Source organism: Homo sapiens, chromosome 10, assembly GCF_000001405.40.
Source record: "Homo sapiens chromosome 10, GRCh38.p14 Primary Assembly".
Classification (NCBI taxonomy): domain Eukaryota; kingdom Metazoa; phylum Chordata; class Mammalia; order Primates; family Hominidae; genus Homo; species Homo sapiens.
Window position 1 is genome coordinate 74,146,339 of NC_000010.11, and position 16,159 is coordinate 74,162,497.

Consider the following 16,159-nt stretch of genomic DNA (forward strand, 5'->3'; position numbering starts at 1 on the left):
TTTTTTTAATTAATCATGCAATCCGATTTACATTTTTAGAAAGATCATACTAATTACACTGCGGAAACTGGATAATCGGTAACTGAACACTGTGACACCAGTTGGGAGATGAGTGGTGATGGCCTGGTCTAGAGTCTTGACTATGAGGATGGGGTACAGTGAAAAGATAAGAGAAACATTTAGGTTTTGTGCTAAAAAACATTTAGGCTTGGAGGAGGGGGTGTGTGGAGATGAGAGAGATGTGTCACTTGGCCTGGTCCTGTGTAATTTGACCAATTCTGGATACATCTGACCCAAATAAATATATTCAAAAAACTATTATATATACCCTTCTGGTGCTTTAGAGAAGCCAGATTGGAATCAGAATTGTAAGTAATCAGGATTTTTTGTTAATGGGAATTAATCAAAAGGAGAATTGAAACAAAAGAAAGAATGTGCATAGTATGAAGAGAGCTTATGGCAGGAACTCCAACATTTGAGTAGGAGGTGGGTCAAGGAAGTGGACCTAAAGAATGACCAAGATGTGACTGAAGAGTCCTAAGAAAAAAAAAAAAACAGGGTGGTTTTTAGTAACTATAGCTTATTAGTGTATTTCCAGAAGAATGGAGTGGTAAATACTGTTACATGGCACAAAGAGGTTAAGCTACGAGAATTGAAAATGTCAGCTGGGCGTGGTGCTCACACCTATAATCCCAGCACTTTGGGAGGCCAAAGTGGGAGTATCACCTGAGCTCGGGAGTTCGAGACCAGCCTGGCCAACATGGTGAAATCCCATCTCCACTAAAAATACCAACAAATTAGCTGGGTGTGGTGGTGGGTGCCTGTAATCCCGGCTGCTCTGGAGGCTGAGGCAGGAGAATCGCTTGAACCCGGGAGGTGGAGGCTGCAGTGAGCCGAGATGGCGCCACTGCACTCTAGCCTGGATGACAGAGCGAGACTCCATCTCAACAACAACAAAAAAGAATTGAAAATGTCTGTTGATTTAAGAGTGTTTTTTAAACTTTCTTTTCCTTAATGCCTGCTAAGGAGCCCTTTTAGACTCCATCTTCTCACCACCCTGCCAATCAAATTCCTCACCCATAAAACTTTTTATTATTCTTTCTTTTTCAACTGTAAATTGACAAATTATAGTTGTATATATTTAGGGGTACCAGATGTTATGATTTATGAAATGTGGAATAATTAAATGAAGCTAATTAATATCACCATAAAATTTTAATACCACAGAATATTCTCTGTTTATGTATTGTATTTGTGCTTTACACATAAAAAGAGTATTATATTTTTTTCACCTCACAAGAAGCAGTTTTTATCTGCTTTGAGAATGCATGATTTAACACACAGAGGACACTGGTGATCTTGGTAAAGGTAGTTTTGGTGGGCTGGGTGCGGTGGCTCACACCTGTAATCCCAGCACTTTGGGAGGCTGAGGCGGGCAGATCACGAGGTCAGGAGTTCGAGACCAGCCTGGCCAACATGGCGAAACCCTGTCTCTACTAAAAATACAAAAGTTAGCTGGGCATGGTGGTAGGCGCCTGTAATCCCAGCTACTCGGGAGGCTGAGGCGGAAGAATCACTTGAACTCTGGAGGCGGAGGTTGCAGTGAGCCGAGATTGCCATTGCACTCCAGCCTGGGCGACAAGAGCAAGACTCCATCTCAGAAAAAAAAAATAGTTTTGGTGGTAGTTCAGTGGAATGCTAGAAATAAGACATTGCAGTGGGCTGGGAAATAAATAGCAAGAAGTGTAAAAAAATAGAGATATGTAGAGTAGATTCAAGAAGTCTAGCTGTGAAGAGGATGAAAAGACAGGAAAATAAATGCAGCAGTTCATAAAGTGAAGGAAGAATACATTCAAATGCTGAAGGAAAGGTGTGAATAGAGGGGGAAAAGCTGACATAGGAGAGAGGGAAAAACGGAAAGAGGACCCTGACATAGCAGGAGAGGATGCTACTGAGAGACTAGGTCAAAGGGTTTGCCTTCTCTAAGGAGAAGGAACACTTTCTACTCTTCAGATTGAAGGGAAGGTTTGTATACTTGACTGCAGGCAGATGATGGCTCTCCTTCTCTGTGTAATGGGAGAGAGGTCATTTCCAAAGGGAGAGAGAAGTCCTCTTCTCTGTAAATACCATGTGCTACTCATGAATTGACACAGTACTGAGCTACTTAAAAATATTTAAATCTGCAAAGAACTCCCATAGCGTATGTGTATATGTATTTTTTTTTAAGAGATAGGGTCTTGTTTTGTTGCCCAGGCTGAAGTGCAGTGGACCAATCATAGCTCACTGTAACTTTGAACTCCTGGGCTCAAGTGATCCTTCTGCCTCATTCTGCCTCTACCTCCTGAGTAGCTAGGACTACAACCACATGCCACAAAGCCTGGCTAATGTTTAAATTTTTTGTAGAGATGGAGTCTCGCTATGTTGCCCAGGCTGATTTCCAGCTCCTGGCCTCAAGTGATTTTCCCGCCTCACCCACCCAAAGTGCTAGGATTACAGGCGTGAGCCACCGCACTCCATCTGCCCATAGTATATTGGTTTGTTTTTTTTTTTTTTGAGACGGAGTCTTACTCTATTGCCAGGCTGGAGTGCAGTGGCGCAATCTCAGCTTACCACAACCTCCGCTTCCTGGGTTCAAGCGATTCTCCTGCCTCAACCTCCCGAGTAGCTGGGACTACAGGCACGTGCCACCACGCCCAGATAATTTTTATATTTTTAGTAGTGACGGGGTTTCTCCATATTTGCCAGGATGGTCTCGATCTCTTGACCTCGTGATCCACCCACCTCAGCCTCTCAAAGTGCTGGGATTACAGGCATGAGCCCTACCGTGCCTGGCCGTATATTATATTAAATGGTTAGAAATAAAAATCATAAGATTAAGTAAGAAAATATAATCTTGTTGCAAAGAGAGCTTTCCTAAAGATACGTAAGGTTTTTTTTTTTTTTTTTTTTTTTTTTTTTTTTTTTTTTTCGAGGCAGAGTCTCGCTCTGTCGCTCAGGGTGGAGTGCAGTGGTGAGGTCTCAGCTTACTGCAACTTCCGCCTCCCGGGTTCAAGGGATTCTCCTGCCTCAGCCTACCAAGTAGCTGGGACTACAGGCGTGTGCCACCACACCTGGCTAATTTTTGTATTTTTAGTAGAGACAGGGTTTCACTATGTTGGCCAGGTTGGTCTCGAACTCCTGACTTTGTGATCCGCCCGCTTCAGCCTGCCAAAGTGCTGAGATTACAGGCGTGAGCCACCGCGCCTGGCCAAGATTCGTAAATTAAGATAATTCTTCATTAACCTCATTCACTTCACTTCTCCTATAGTGTCAATTGAAAGTGTCCCTCTGTCTTTCCCAAATTAATCCTTTCACTTGTAACTTGATCCCATTCCTTTCCTTCTCTTCTGGGAGACAAGACTTTTTCTTGAATCTTCAAATAGTTGCTTGCTTCCTGCCCCCAAATAGATATCTTGTATTCTTTAAAACAAACCCCAAACTTTCCCCCACCTTGCCACTCTCAATAATCTTGCTTCATGCCCCAAATGATGAAGGATTGGTCTACACTTGCAGTCTTTCCTCAGTTACTATTAAAGCATCTCTCTCAAACAGCTCAATGACTTTCTAATTATAAAATCCAACGACCTATTCTGATTTCAGCTTCCTCCTCTGACCATTGCAGCATTTTATGTCATTGATAACTTTCTCCTAAACAAAAATACTTCTTACCCTTTTATATGAAACTTCATCTGTTTTGGGTCTCACCTTGAAAGTCTTTCGGGCTTAATTCTCATAATTTTTTTTAAAGTCTTTCTACAATCTCCATGTAAACCACTGTTTCAAATTCGATAAAACTCAAACTCCATAAAATACCTCCTCCTGTCACTGGCACCATCTTCTTAATCACACATAAGGCTGTAAGTTTCAGGTTCAAACAAATCTACCAAATACAAACAGCCACATCGCCCGTCACTCTTCCACACTCACTGCCACCTGCTCAGCTTAGAACCCCGTTACCTCTCTCCTGAAGAACTGCAACACCCTTCTCACTGCATTCCTCACCCCAGGCTCTTCCAGGCACCACCCGCTAACAGGACGTCTGCTCAGGTCCGTTTGGGGTTTTGTCCTCCAAAGCAGAAACCTGGGACTGAGATTCCTGCCGTCTGTACTCCAGCTCACTATAGAGGGGGAACCCAGTAAGCTTGACCTCCGGGGCTCAGGCGCCTGAGAACACTGGGCTGCAGGTGGACCGCTCCCTTCTGGCCTTGCTGGCGAGAAAGCCCGGAAGGCCGGGAGTGGGGGGGAAGCGAGGCCCGGGCCAACAGCACCAAAGACGCTCCTAGAGCCCAGATCGGAGTCGGGGGCCCCAGCTATTCAGCCTACTCCCGGGTTTTGGAGCTGTCCCCAGTCCACAGATTTCCCGCCCCTCACACTCACCCCAACACCTGTGCCAGTCAGTGATTCGGCGCCGGATCCTCTCCTACCGAAGCTGGAGAAGCCGAGAAGGCCGCGAGGACCCGCAGCTGGAGTGCCCAGGAAATTGCCTGATTAACAGCTTCAAAGACACCGACTCTGTCTACCGTATTAGAAATTTTAAATATGCAGGAAGACCGTAAATGAGAGGAAAGACGTCTCTTGAGGCTTAGTATCTAAATCTTCTACATAATCCAGGGCCTAGAAAAATGGTGGGTTTCTCTCCATCTAGATTCAGGCGGTCATCTGCTGCCTAACGCAGTCTGGGGTCCCTCATGGTAGGGGAGGCGGGGTCAGGAATGGGCGGGGCATTCGCTGTTGGTGCCGACGGATAGAGCCAATGATTGTGGATGACAGCGGCACAGAATGGGCGGAGTCTGGAGGGGCGGGATTTGGAGAAGAGAAAGCGGTGATGCGAAGAGGGGGCGGGACCAGAGAGTGGATGGCAGAGGTGGGCTGTAGAGCCAAAGTGGGGTGGGAGCGCGAAGATGGCAGCTGCTGAGGAGGAGCCGAAGCCCAAAAAGCTGAAGGTGGAGGCGCCGCAAGCGCTGAGGTGAGCGCTGCCGGACTTGGGGAGGAGGGTGACGGCGCTGCAAGCAAGCCAGGGCCCACGTGGGGTTGCACGGCCCCGACGCTGGGTGGTGTCTCTCACTGCCAGCTTGGGGCCAACACGCAGGACCTCCCCCAGCTGCCCGCTTGGCCGCGACCCCTTGCCAGACGTTCTCTCCGTTTGGCTGAGTCCCCGCCTGTCTGGTGCAGCTCCGGCTCCAGCAGCCCTTCGCCAGTCGTGGCCCGCAGGGGGACCGAGCTGGCTGACCGCGCCACCTGCGAGCAAGCCCAGGCTGGGCTGGTGCGACCCCGGAGGGTCGGACCGGAGCAGCGTCTGTAGGCGGCCGCCTTCTCTTCCCGGGGGATGGCGGGAAAGAGGCTCGGCAACTGCTGTACACTGGGGCAAAGTCAGAATTCTTGGGGATTTTTCAGAGTGTTGCGGAAGGGCACGTTGACCTTCCTTTTCGTGCACATTCTGAAAGCCCGTACCTTTGAGGACCCTCTACCAGGGACCCAGACCCCTCCGATGCTTTGCAGGGGCAGCATTTGGATGAATGGATAGGAAAGGTTGATTTCTCTTTTTTATTTACACTTTTTGGCAGCAACGGGGACAGTGCTGCCCCTAACACCTGCCTCACATGTGATTGATGTTGCAACTTTTACTTATGAAGAGTCATTTGTTAAAATATCCCTTCCTAATAAGTATAAAGTGAAGCAGGCAGTCTTTGATGATTTGGAAATGTTCGCTGAAAGGCAGCGATTTTTTTTTCCATCTTAAAATAGACATATCAAACTGATTTAAAACTATTAGGACACTCCTGATTAAACAGGACATATCCCATTTCTTCCAGTATCACTCTTCTTCACCTCCAAAGGAAGGAATCACTCACAATTGAAAAGAAAAGGACACTTAGGGGCCTGGTGGTGTGTTCATGCTGCTTTGAATGGAGGGTGAACAAATCCTTGCCAGTTCCTTTAATGTATTCCTACTACCCTCAAAGGGTTAGTGTGCCTACCTTATACCAAGAACATAAACTTTAAAATAAAAACCCTCAGGATATTCTATTTTTATTTTAAATATTCCAACTATATGCAGAATAAAAAGCAACGGCTTTTGAATCAGACCTACCTGAGTTCAAGGCATGTGCTTTCCCTACTCTGCCCTTTATTAGAGTATTTCCTTATAAGGCACCTCCTTCGCCAAACTGGAAGACAGATGCAACTTTTCCCTACCATCCTACTGAACATATAACCCTTAGATTTCCTTAGATTTTTCCTTAATAAAAATTATTATATATAATGCTGATCCATTTTCACTGTGTTTTCCTATTTATTATCTTGTTGGACAGTTCTGTGATCAAAGGAAGGCAAGAATTATGCCTATTTTACAATTGAAGATATTGAAGCCCAAATAAAACAATTAGTACAGGAACAGAAATAGGAACTAGCTGAGCATGTTTTCTTATACCTGCAGTCCTGGTGCTTTGTGAGGCTGTGGTGAGAGCATTCCTTAGGCAACTAAAATTCACTTTATACAATATGAATTTAGTGCCACCTGTAGACATGAAGTTAAAAGATTAGACACTTGAGTACTGGGACAAATCTCTAATTTTGTGGGGAGACATTTTAGGATCGGCTATTATTACTTTTATTATATTAATTTGCTTTCAGACTCAAAGTGTGATAATGCATTGAGTATTTACACTGAATTTATGATGACTTGCTTGACAGGGGATTGCTACTGGTTTTGGTTAAGGAGAATGGATTATAAAGACTTTGCATAATTTAATGTGCAGCATCAGTGGGAACAAATAATGAGATATATTTGTAGATGTCAGGAAAAATATTTAGATTTAGGGATTTGTGAGAATTTGGTCAGCTCTGGGATAATAATTCTCCACCAGGGGAAATTTTGCCCTCCAGGGGACATTTGGCGTGGTCTAGAAAGATATTTTTGGTAGGGAGAGCTATTGGCACCTAGTGGATGGAATTCAGGGGTGCTGCTAAACATGCTACATAGGACAACCCCCACAACAAAGAATTATCTGGCCAAATACGTCAACGGTGTTGAGGTTGAGAAATCTGTTCTAGAGGGAGCATCTGACAAGACTAGTCTGCCTTTCTCAAATATCTATTATTTTTCTAGGCTCGGTTGCTTTTCAGCATATAACAGTTGCTTATAAAGAAAGAATCAGGCTCTGACATGTTTTCACGTGGGATTAGGGGAAAGAAGGGAACGTTAATTGAGTGCTAGACATTATACTATGTGCTCTATATATGTTATCTCTTTTAACCCTCCCAGTGACCTATGAGGTAGGAGCAATGATTCCTGTGTTACAGACGAGCTATTTTGTGATGAAAGAAGTGGAGAAACATTTTTGGGAACTGCTCCCTAGATGAAGGTGTTCCATGATGATCACTTATATTTAAGACAACTTAGTTTTCTTTTCTCTCCTTTGGAAATCTCATCCAAGTTCATTTCTTTAGCGATCGCCTCTTAAGAGGCTACAGTGCCTTCCAAGGCTTGTTGAGCACGTGCCAAGTCTTTTCCTTCAGTTTGTCTTTCAAGTACATGCTATTTTAGACATGGTGTTAAAAACTGGATATATATAGAGAGAGAAAGAGGTAAGGCACAGGTACCATCCTCTTGGTGGGAAATAAGTGGGGTTTGGGAAAATGACACCTGAGTATTCTTAAAGATGACTAGGAGTTAACCAGTCATCTGTGACTGTAGGGTATCTGTGAAGTAGGGTATCTGCCTTATAGGAAAGTTTGTTTGGTGGCAGAACTGGGAGAGAGCTGCCTCTTGGGGAAGTGCAGATAGTCTGACTGAAGCAGAGATGTATGGGGTCCAGGCTTTGTATTAGACACTCTCACATGTGTCCTTTCTATCTCTGTGCCTCTCAGTTCTCAGATCTTAATTTAATTTAATTTTGTATATATTTTTGAGTTGGAGTCTCACTCTGGCGCACAGGTTGGAGTGCAGTGGCACCATCTCGGCTCACTGCAACCTCTGCCTCCTGGGTTCAAGCAATTCTGCTGCCTCCGCCTCCCAAGTAGCTGGGATTACAGGCGTACACCACTATGCCTGGCTAATTTTTGTATTTTTAGTAGAGACGGGATTTTGCCATGTTGGCTAGGCTGGTCTTGAACTTCTGACCTCAAGCGATCCACCTGCCTCAGCCTCCCAAAGTGTTGGGATTACAGGTGTGAGCCACCGTGCCCTGCCTTCCCAGACCTTAATTTTTACTGTCTGCTGAGTATGTGCTTCTGAGTGACTTTCTGACATTTCGAAGTCATATATACCAAACTAAATTATCTGTTATCCTGAATCTGTGCATTTTTCCATATTTCCTGCATCTGTTAATGGCACCAGTAACCTCCTTTACTCCAAAGTTTGAGACCTAGATATTTGATTCATTTTACATCCACATTATAATGTCTTTCCTTTTCCATTCCTGCTGCCACACCTTACGTTTAGACTTTATCTTTTGCTTAGATTTTGTTTTGACTTCCTAAGCAGTCTCTTTACCTTCAGCCTCAAGTTCTGCCTACTTTTCTTTAGGCACAGCTCTACTTATTCATCACGGCAAATATTTGTAAACTCTGAAGTTGATGTTAGGAAACGTTGAATCCTGAAAGCCCATATCATTACTCCATCTGACATTAGCAATTAAGGATTATTAAGGATCATGACTTTTAATAGTACTAAAAAGGAAACAAACTACAGTTCTCTAATCAGCAAATGCTGAGCTTTTCTCAAATATTGCTTCCTAACTGTTTCACTTCCATGGACCCCTTTTATTATTTTCCTCTATCTCCTACCTCACTATGGACCCTGTGTTCTAAAATTAAACCTAGGAGCTGGGCATGGTGGCTCACACCTACATTCCAGCACTTTGGGAGGCCAAGGTGGGAGGTTTGCTTGAACCCAGAAGTTCGAGACCAGTCTGGGCAACAAAATGAGACCCTCGAATCTTTAAAAAAAACGAAACAAAAACTAGCTGGACATGGTGGCATAAGCCTGTGGTCCCAGCTACACAGGAGGCTGAGGCAGGAGGATTCCTTGGCTTCCCAAAGTGCTGGGATTACACGTGTGAGCCACCAAGCCTGGCCTTAATTAATGTTTGTTGCATAGAGTGGCACTGATAACTTTCATTTTTCTAGACCCTATATATATATTTTTTTGTTTGTTTGTTTTTGTTTTTGAGACAGAGTCTCGCTCTGTCGCCCAGGCTGGAGTGCAGTGGCACAGTCTCGGCTCACTGCAAGCTCCGCTTCCCGGGTTCATGCCATTCTCCTGCCTCAGCCTCTGAGTAGCTGGGACTACAGGCGCCTGCCATCACGCCCGGCCAATTTTTTGTATTTTTAATAGAGACGGGGTTTAGTAGAGACGTGTTAGCCGGGATGGTCTTGATCGCCTGACCTCGTGATCCACCCGCCTCAGCCTCCCAAAGTGCTGGATTACAGGGGTGAGCCACCGTGCCCGGCGACCCTATACTTTTAATAATGCAGCCTAAAATTGAGCTTTGCTACTATTTTCTTTTTTCATCATGATAATCTACTATTGAAAGAGTTTGGTTATTTTTGGATGATATTGCATGCCTTTTACTTATATTCGCAAATTTAATCCTTTAAGATTAAGGCTTTGGGCTATGAAGGAATGGAAAACAAAAGTCCCCTAATGCACTTAGTATGAATGCCTTAATAAGATCCTTTCCTGGGCAATATATACTAGTGCAGCGTGAGGGTGGTAGAGAGAGCCAGAGGAAAGCTTGCATGGATGGTTCTGGGTATCCAGGGACAAGCATGGAAGTGCTTGAAACTCAGGGAAAGTGGGAAGGGCCTTAGGAAAACAAGGGGCATTGAAGACTATGTTTCTTATTTTGGGTACAGGCCTAGACTGAATATTCAGCCTCAAATAAAACATGAGGCTGATGTGCTGCTTTTTTTTACCTGGAATATGTCTTTGCTTTACTTCCATCAATTAAAATCCTGGCCACATGGTGTGGCTCATGCCTGTAATCCCAGCACTTTGGGAGGCCAAGGTGGGAGGATTGCTTGAGGCCAGGAGTTCTAGACTGGCCTGGGCAACATAGTGAGACCCTAGCTCTACAAAAATAAACTTAGCCAGGCATGGCAGCAGGTTCCTGTTGTCCCAACCACTCTGGAAGCTGAGGCACTGGCACTACTACATTCCAGCCTGGGTAACAGCAAGACTCTGTCTCAAAAAAAGAAAACAAAATATCTTTCCTGTGTCCAAAGTGTTTACAGTTAGGTGGGGGAAAAAAAGTATCAAAATTTTAAAGAGCATTCTGGTCAGAATGGATCCCAGTAGAGCAGTGGTTAAGAGCATGGTCTCTGGCATCAGCTATCTGGTTTGACCCTTGATCCTTATTAGCTAGTGATCTCGGGAAGATTGGCTACTTGCCCCATACCTCTTTTCTCACCTGTAAAATGGGTATAGTAATAGTACGAACCTCATAAGGATGTTGAGAGGGAAACGCAGCAATTAAAAATTTAAAAAGGAAAGGAAAAGATATAGATATACTCAAGAACAAGATAAACATCTCCAGGGACCAAGAACAGAAAAGAAACATGCAGTTAGACTCTGGGTTCAGGAGCTAGTAGAAATAACATGTAGGGGACCTAGGGTCAGATGCTCTGTATGAAACTGAAGCTGGGCTGAGACTGGATGAAAGAGGGCTGAAAACATCTGCTCTTGGCTGTTGCTTTAAAAAGCTGTGGACCTGGAGTGAAGATGCAGAAGTGGCTGAGCTGCCAGATGGCTCAGAGTCAGGAACTGTGGTTTCCCCACTATCAGCTAGTACAAGAGCACCAAGCTTGGAGGTCGTGGACTCTGGAAGAGGGGTGGCCTATCACAGAACCCCTGGGAAAAGAGGGAATGTCTGAGCCTATAAACACACGAGGAAGACCATTACTTAGAAAATTAACACAGTTACCAAGAGATAAATTCACAAAAAATCTGATGGAAATATGGGTAATTTCAAAACAATTGTAAGTATTTTAAAGATCCTTAAAAAAGATAAAAGAAATAATGGTCATAAAAAAACATGAATCAAAAATAGGTAGATATGAAATAGATGGCTATATTAAAGAAAAAATGGAATTATTGAAATTAAAAAAAAAATAGGTCAGTTGAACTCTAGACCAGACAAATTTGAAGGGAAAATTAATGAATTGGAAGAAAGTACCCAGATGTATCACAGAGAAATAAATAGGAATTAACAAATATGAGCTGGGCGTGATGGCTCATGCCGGTAATTCCAGTACTTTGGGAGGCCAAGGCGGGCAGATCACCTGAGGTTGGGAATTTGAGACCAGCCTGACCAACATGGAGAAACTCCATCTTTACTAAAAAAAAAAAAAAAAAAATACAAAATTAGCTGGATGTGGTGGTCCATGCCTATAATCCCAGCTACTCAGGAGGCTGAGGCAGGAGAATCTCTTGAACCCGGGAAGTGGAGGTTGGGGTGAGCCGAGATCGTGCCATTGCACTCCAGCCTGGGCAACAGCGCAACTCCATAAATTGAGAGGCACCAACTTACATCTAACTGGGAGTTCCAAAAAGAGGAAATAATGTGAATGGTGGAGAAGCCAGGTTGGAAGAGCTGATGGCTGAGAATTTACCAAAATTTAAGAAAGACCAGTTCTCAGCTTGAAAGGGCATTATATGTATCTAGTAAGATGGAAACAAAAATATAAACTAAAACTTCAGAGATTTTCTTGCTAATTATATTAATGTATCTATTATAGAAAGACTGAAAATTTAGACACTCCAAATTTAATAGTGGGCATCTTTAGGTGGAAGAATTATGAGGTTTAAAAAAAAACTTGTATTTTCCAATGTTTCTACACTGAACATATTAGGAATCTTGCTTTTAAGTTGGAGAGACTTGAAGTACACTGAATATATAAGTGGCCAAGTGCTGTGTGGCTAAATATTATCTTTACAGAATGGACCTCTGGGATACCAAATACCTCTGAAACTTGGTAACATAATTATTATGACTTTATTGTAGGCTATAATCTTTTAAGCTATATTTCTGAAATCCCAAAGCTCTGGAAGCTGGAAGTTTTTTAAAAAGTTTGAGATGAATTAATTTGGCAGCAAAATTTGAACTGATGTAAAGGTGTCAGTAGTATTTATTTGTCTGACACAAATGTATATGCTTTGCTATGGAAATATTAGGCTGTTAATGACATGCCACATGAATTCCTCCTGGGTGTTCTACAAAATATATAGTGCAGTGTTACCTTCCTAAAATCCATAAAATTCTGAATTCCAAAACATACCCTGCCCCAAGGATTTAAGAAAGGGTTTGTGGACTTTTATTACTTATTTATAGTTTACTTTTAAAAGTTGGCTACTGTGCAGGAACAATAATTTCTCATCAGAGTTAGTTCCTAGATTTTTTTCTCTAGTCACTGTTCTGCACTTCTATGATACTAAGTAGATGCTCATTTCAAAGATACTTTTTGGCTAGCTCTACTGTAATACCAGTACAGTTGATGTCACTGAGTTATTAGGCTTTTCTTCCTCTCCAGTAGTAACTGAAAAGACAGACTTCTCTTCAACTTTTGGACTTGAAGATTTGGAAGGCTGTTTTACAAAATGGTCTCCCAAACTGAAGTTTCACATACTGCTTGAAGAAGATACATTCTGATGATTTATCAAAGCAGATTTAGAGTTTTTGCTCTCATTTATGTGTATTATTTCTGATGTTGTTTGTACTTTTGGCTTCGTACCATTTCTTTAAAAATTTGGTTCATACACTTCAGATCTAGAAGCAATGTGATTAGCCTTTGATATAAGAACATCTGAGTTTCTATTTGCATTTTTACTTTCATTGCATGCATGCTGACTTTAGTATTTTCTTTACAATTTAGAAGATATATATGTATAGCAATTATGTAAGAAATTCTTGCCTTCTGTAGGCACAACAGTTTGGTTACTGTATTAACATGGTCTTAACCATTTTGTCAGCAAGCCACATTTGGTTAGTAGTGAGTCCTGCTATTTTACTATGTTACCTGCAAACAGGATTGCAGATGTGAAGGTAGCCTGTGTGATCATTGGTCACTCACTGAATTAGGGATTATCAGAAATTATATTGAAGTGGTCACTTGGCTACTTGCCTTCTACATGCTTAGGCTAGACTTTGGTTCATACTTAGAACCATTTTGAAATCTCTGAAAGACTCAGTTGACTCAACCTAACTGGAAAGTCCATCTAATTTTTTTTTTTTTGAGATGGAGTCTTGATCTGTCACCCAGGCTGGAGTGCGGTGGCACGATCTCAGCTCACTGCAACCTCCGCCTCCTGGGTTCAAGCAACTCTCCTGCCTCAGCCTCCCGAGCAGCTGGGATTACAGGCATGCACCACCATGCCCAGCTACTTTTTGTATTTTTAGTAGAGACAGGGTTTCACAATGTTGGCCAGGCTGGTCTCAAATGCCTGACCTCAGGTGATCCACCTGCCTTGGCCTCCCAACGTGCTGGGATTACAGGTGTGAGCCACAGCACCTGGCCTAAAGTCCATCTAAATATGACTCAATCTAGGAGTTCACCGCTTGTCTCTGTTGTCCTTTAGATTCAATTTATCTCTCACGTAGGCCATTTCAGTGTAACAAGATGGCAGTTCTCAACTCCAAGCCAAAATCTCATGAGTCCAAAGGAAGAGAGTTTTTCTATATGCTTGTATCAGTTTTGAGAGAAATTTGGTTCTGCCTGTGTTACACACTACCTTGAACCAGTTGAGGTAGGAGGTGGGGCTCAGACACTGGACCAAATTGAGGACTAGCTAAAACAGGGACAGAGTGGAATCAGCTTTCCGTAAGTCACACCTACTAATGTGCCATGTCAGTTTCCCATTGCCACGGCAACACCCAGAAGTTAGCGTCCCTTTTCATGACAGTGTCCTGGAAGTTACCACCCTTTTCCTAGAAATTTCTGCATAATCTGCCTCTTAATTTGTATATAATTAAAATTGGGTATAAATATGACCACAGAACTGCTTCTGAGCTGCTACTCTGGGCATACTGCCTATGGGGTAGCCCTGCTCTGCAAGGGGCAGTACCTCTGCCGATGCTTTACACTGCTGCTTCAATAAAAGTTGCTGACACACCACTGGCTGACCCTTGAATTTTTTCCTGGATGAAGCCAAGCACCGTCCTGGGCTAAGCCCCAGTTCTGGGGCTTACCTGCCCTGCATTACAATCACTGTATCAGAGGTGGAGATTTGGGCTGGCCTTGGATACATTCTCACTGTCTGCCCGTCTGTTGTGTGCGTGCATGCAGGTAGGGGTGTGTGCGTGCATGCAGGTAGGGGTGTGTGTGTGTGTGTGTGTGTGTGTGTATGTGTGTGTGTAGGTAGTACTAGGTATATGGGGAGCCAGTGAGTGTAGGCATTGTTCGTATATGGGGGGAAATGGATGGGTGTTGATGGGTACACTGTAATCAACAACTCCGACAGGACCTTGTAGAGTAAGGGAGGTAGTGTCATTCCCTCAGCAAGAGAAAAATCCATTTTAGCATGTACAATATTTATTAAAACAACCTTCCTCTTCTCCCCTTCCAAAAAACCCGACAACCTCAGTCTTCAAGGTCTAGCCAAATTCTCTCTTCTCTATAAAACTTTTCTACTCACCAAACCTAGAAATGGTTTCTCCTTTGACTGTTTGTACTTTATACTTTGCGTTATTGCAATGTACAGTATGTGCATGTTTTATCTCACCTATTGCTACTTGAAGTTGGGAAACTAGTTGAATAACTCTTAGTGCCTCATAACTGATCACTTCATTGCAATATAACAGGCTCTGAATTTCTGTTGAATCAAGGAATTCCTATTTATTTTTTTGAGATGAAGTCTCGCTCTGCTGCCCAGACTGGAGTTCAGTGGCATGATCTCGGCTCACTGCAACATTCACCTCTCAGGTTCAAGCAATTCTCCTGCCTCAGCCTCCCGAGTAGCTGGGACTACAAGTGCACACCACCACACCTGGCTAAATTTGTGTATGTGTGTGTTTTTAGTACAGACGGGGTTTCACTGTGTTAGCCAGTATGGTCTCGATCTCCTGATCTCGTGATCTACCTGCCTCAACCTCCCAAAGTGCTGGGATTACAGGCATGAGTCACCGCGCCTGGCCTATTTATTTTAAAATTTTAATTAATTTTTTTTTTGTTTTTAGAGACAGGGTTTCACTATGTTGCCCATGCTGGTCTTGCCTATGCCTGTCTTGAACTCCTGGCCTCAAGTGATCTTCCCTCTCAGCCTCCCAAAGTGCTGGGATTACAGGTGTGAGCAACCATTCCTGGCAGAATCAGGGAATTCTTAACACTTTTTTTTTTTGTTTTTTTTGAGATGAGGGGGTCTTGCTGTGTTGCCTAGGCTGGAGTGCAGTGGTACAATCATGGCTCACTGCAGCTTTGACCTCCCAGGCTCAAGCGATCCTCCTATCTCAGCCTCCAGAGTAGCTGGAACTACAGGGATGCACCACTGTGCCCAGCTAATTAAAGAAAAAATTTTCTTTTGTAGAAACAGGGTCTCACTCTATTGCCCAGGCTGGTCTTGAACTCAAGCAGTCCTCCTGCCTCGGCCTCCTAAAGTGCTAGGATTACAAGCCTGAGCTGCATGCCTGGCCTCTTAACCCTTTAAAGATTTTTTTGTTTGTTTTTTAGACAGAGTTTCACTCTTGTTGACCAGGCTGGAGTGTAGTGGCACGATCTTGGCTCACTGCAACCCCCGCCTTCTGGTTTCAAGCGATTCTCCTGCCTCAGCCTCCCAAGTACCTGGGGTTACAGGTGCCCGCCACCACACCTGGCTAAATTTTGTATTTTTAGTAGAGACAGGGTTTCACCATGTTGGCCAGGCTGGTCTCGAACTCCAGACCTTGTGATCCGCCCACCTTGGCCTCCCAAAGTGCTGGGATTACAGGCGTGAGCCACTGGGCTCGGCTGCTTGTAGCATTTAATGGTGCAAAATGGATTCATGTGTTGTCTATAAATTCTTACCAATAATGGGAGTTGATGGAGAGAACTATTACCTGAAAATACTTCACGATTCTTTGGCCTTTCATTTTTTTGTTAAATGGAGTGAGCTTGTGTGCAAAATCAACCTGATACTAAAGGATAAGAA

The 16,159-nt window shown here is 43.6% G+C and overlaps 2 protein-coding genes across 14 annotated transcripts in view, besides 2 other annotated features; one reads left to right on the forward strand and one right to left on the reverse strand.

Moving 5' to 3' along the window:
• Positions 1-4,490, reverse strand: part of AP3M1 (adaptor related protein complex 3 subunit mu 1) — a 30,574-nt gene extending 26,084 nt beyond the window's left edge. For 5 of the 8 annotated variants that reach the window (NR_135191.2, NM_001320265.2, NM_012095.6 and 2 more), the window contains exon 1: positions 4,417-4,490. The gene's annotated coding sequence lies outside the window, so the exon portion shown is untranslated. Of the gene's footprint in view, positions 1-3,996 lie in introns of all 8 variants that reach the window. The other 3 variants (XM_024447939.2, NM_001320263.2, NM_001320264.2) reach the window with 2 other exon arrangements.
• Positions 4,414-4,643: an enhancer, noted in NCBI's record as "active region_3589". NCBI's record gives its function as "activates an Ori minimal core promoter by ATAC-STARR-seq in GM12878 lymphoblastoid cells {active_cell/tissue: GM12878}" and the evidence as "EXISTENCE:reporter gene assay evidence [ECO:0000049][PMID:35858748]".
• ADK (adenosine kinase) overlaps positions 4,883-16,159 on the forward strand; it is a 558,070-nt gene continuing 546,793 nt past the window's right edge. For all 6 annotated transcript variants that reach the window (NM_006721.4, NM_001369123.1, NM_001202450.2 and 3 more), the window contains exon 1: positions 4,883-5,005. In NM_006721.4, coding sequence (NP_006712.2) covers positions 4,941-5,005 — 65 coding nt within the window. In that variant the 5' untranslated portion in view covers positions 4,883-4,940. The remainder of the gene's footprint in view (positions 5,006-16,159) is intronic.
• Positions 5,054-5,233: an enhancer, noted in NCBI's record as "active region_3590". NCBI's record gives its function as "activates an Ori minimal core promoter by ATAC-STARR-seq in GM12878 lymphoblastoid cells {active_cell/tissue: GM12878}" and the evidence as "EXISTENCE:reporter gene assay evidence [ECO:0000049][PMID:35858748]".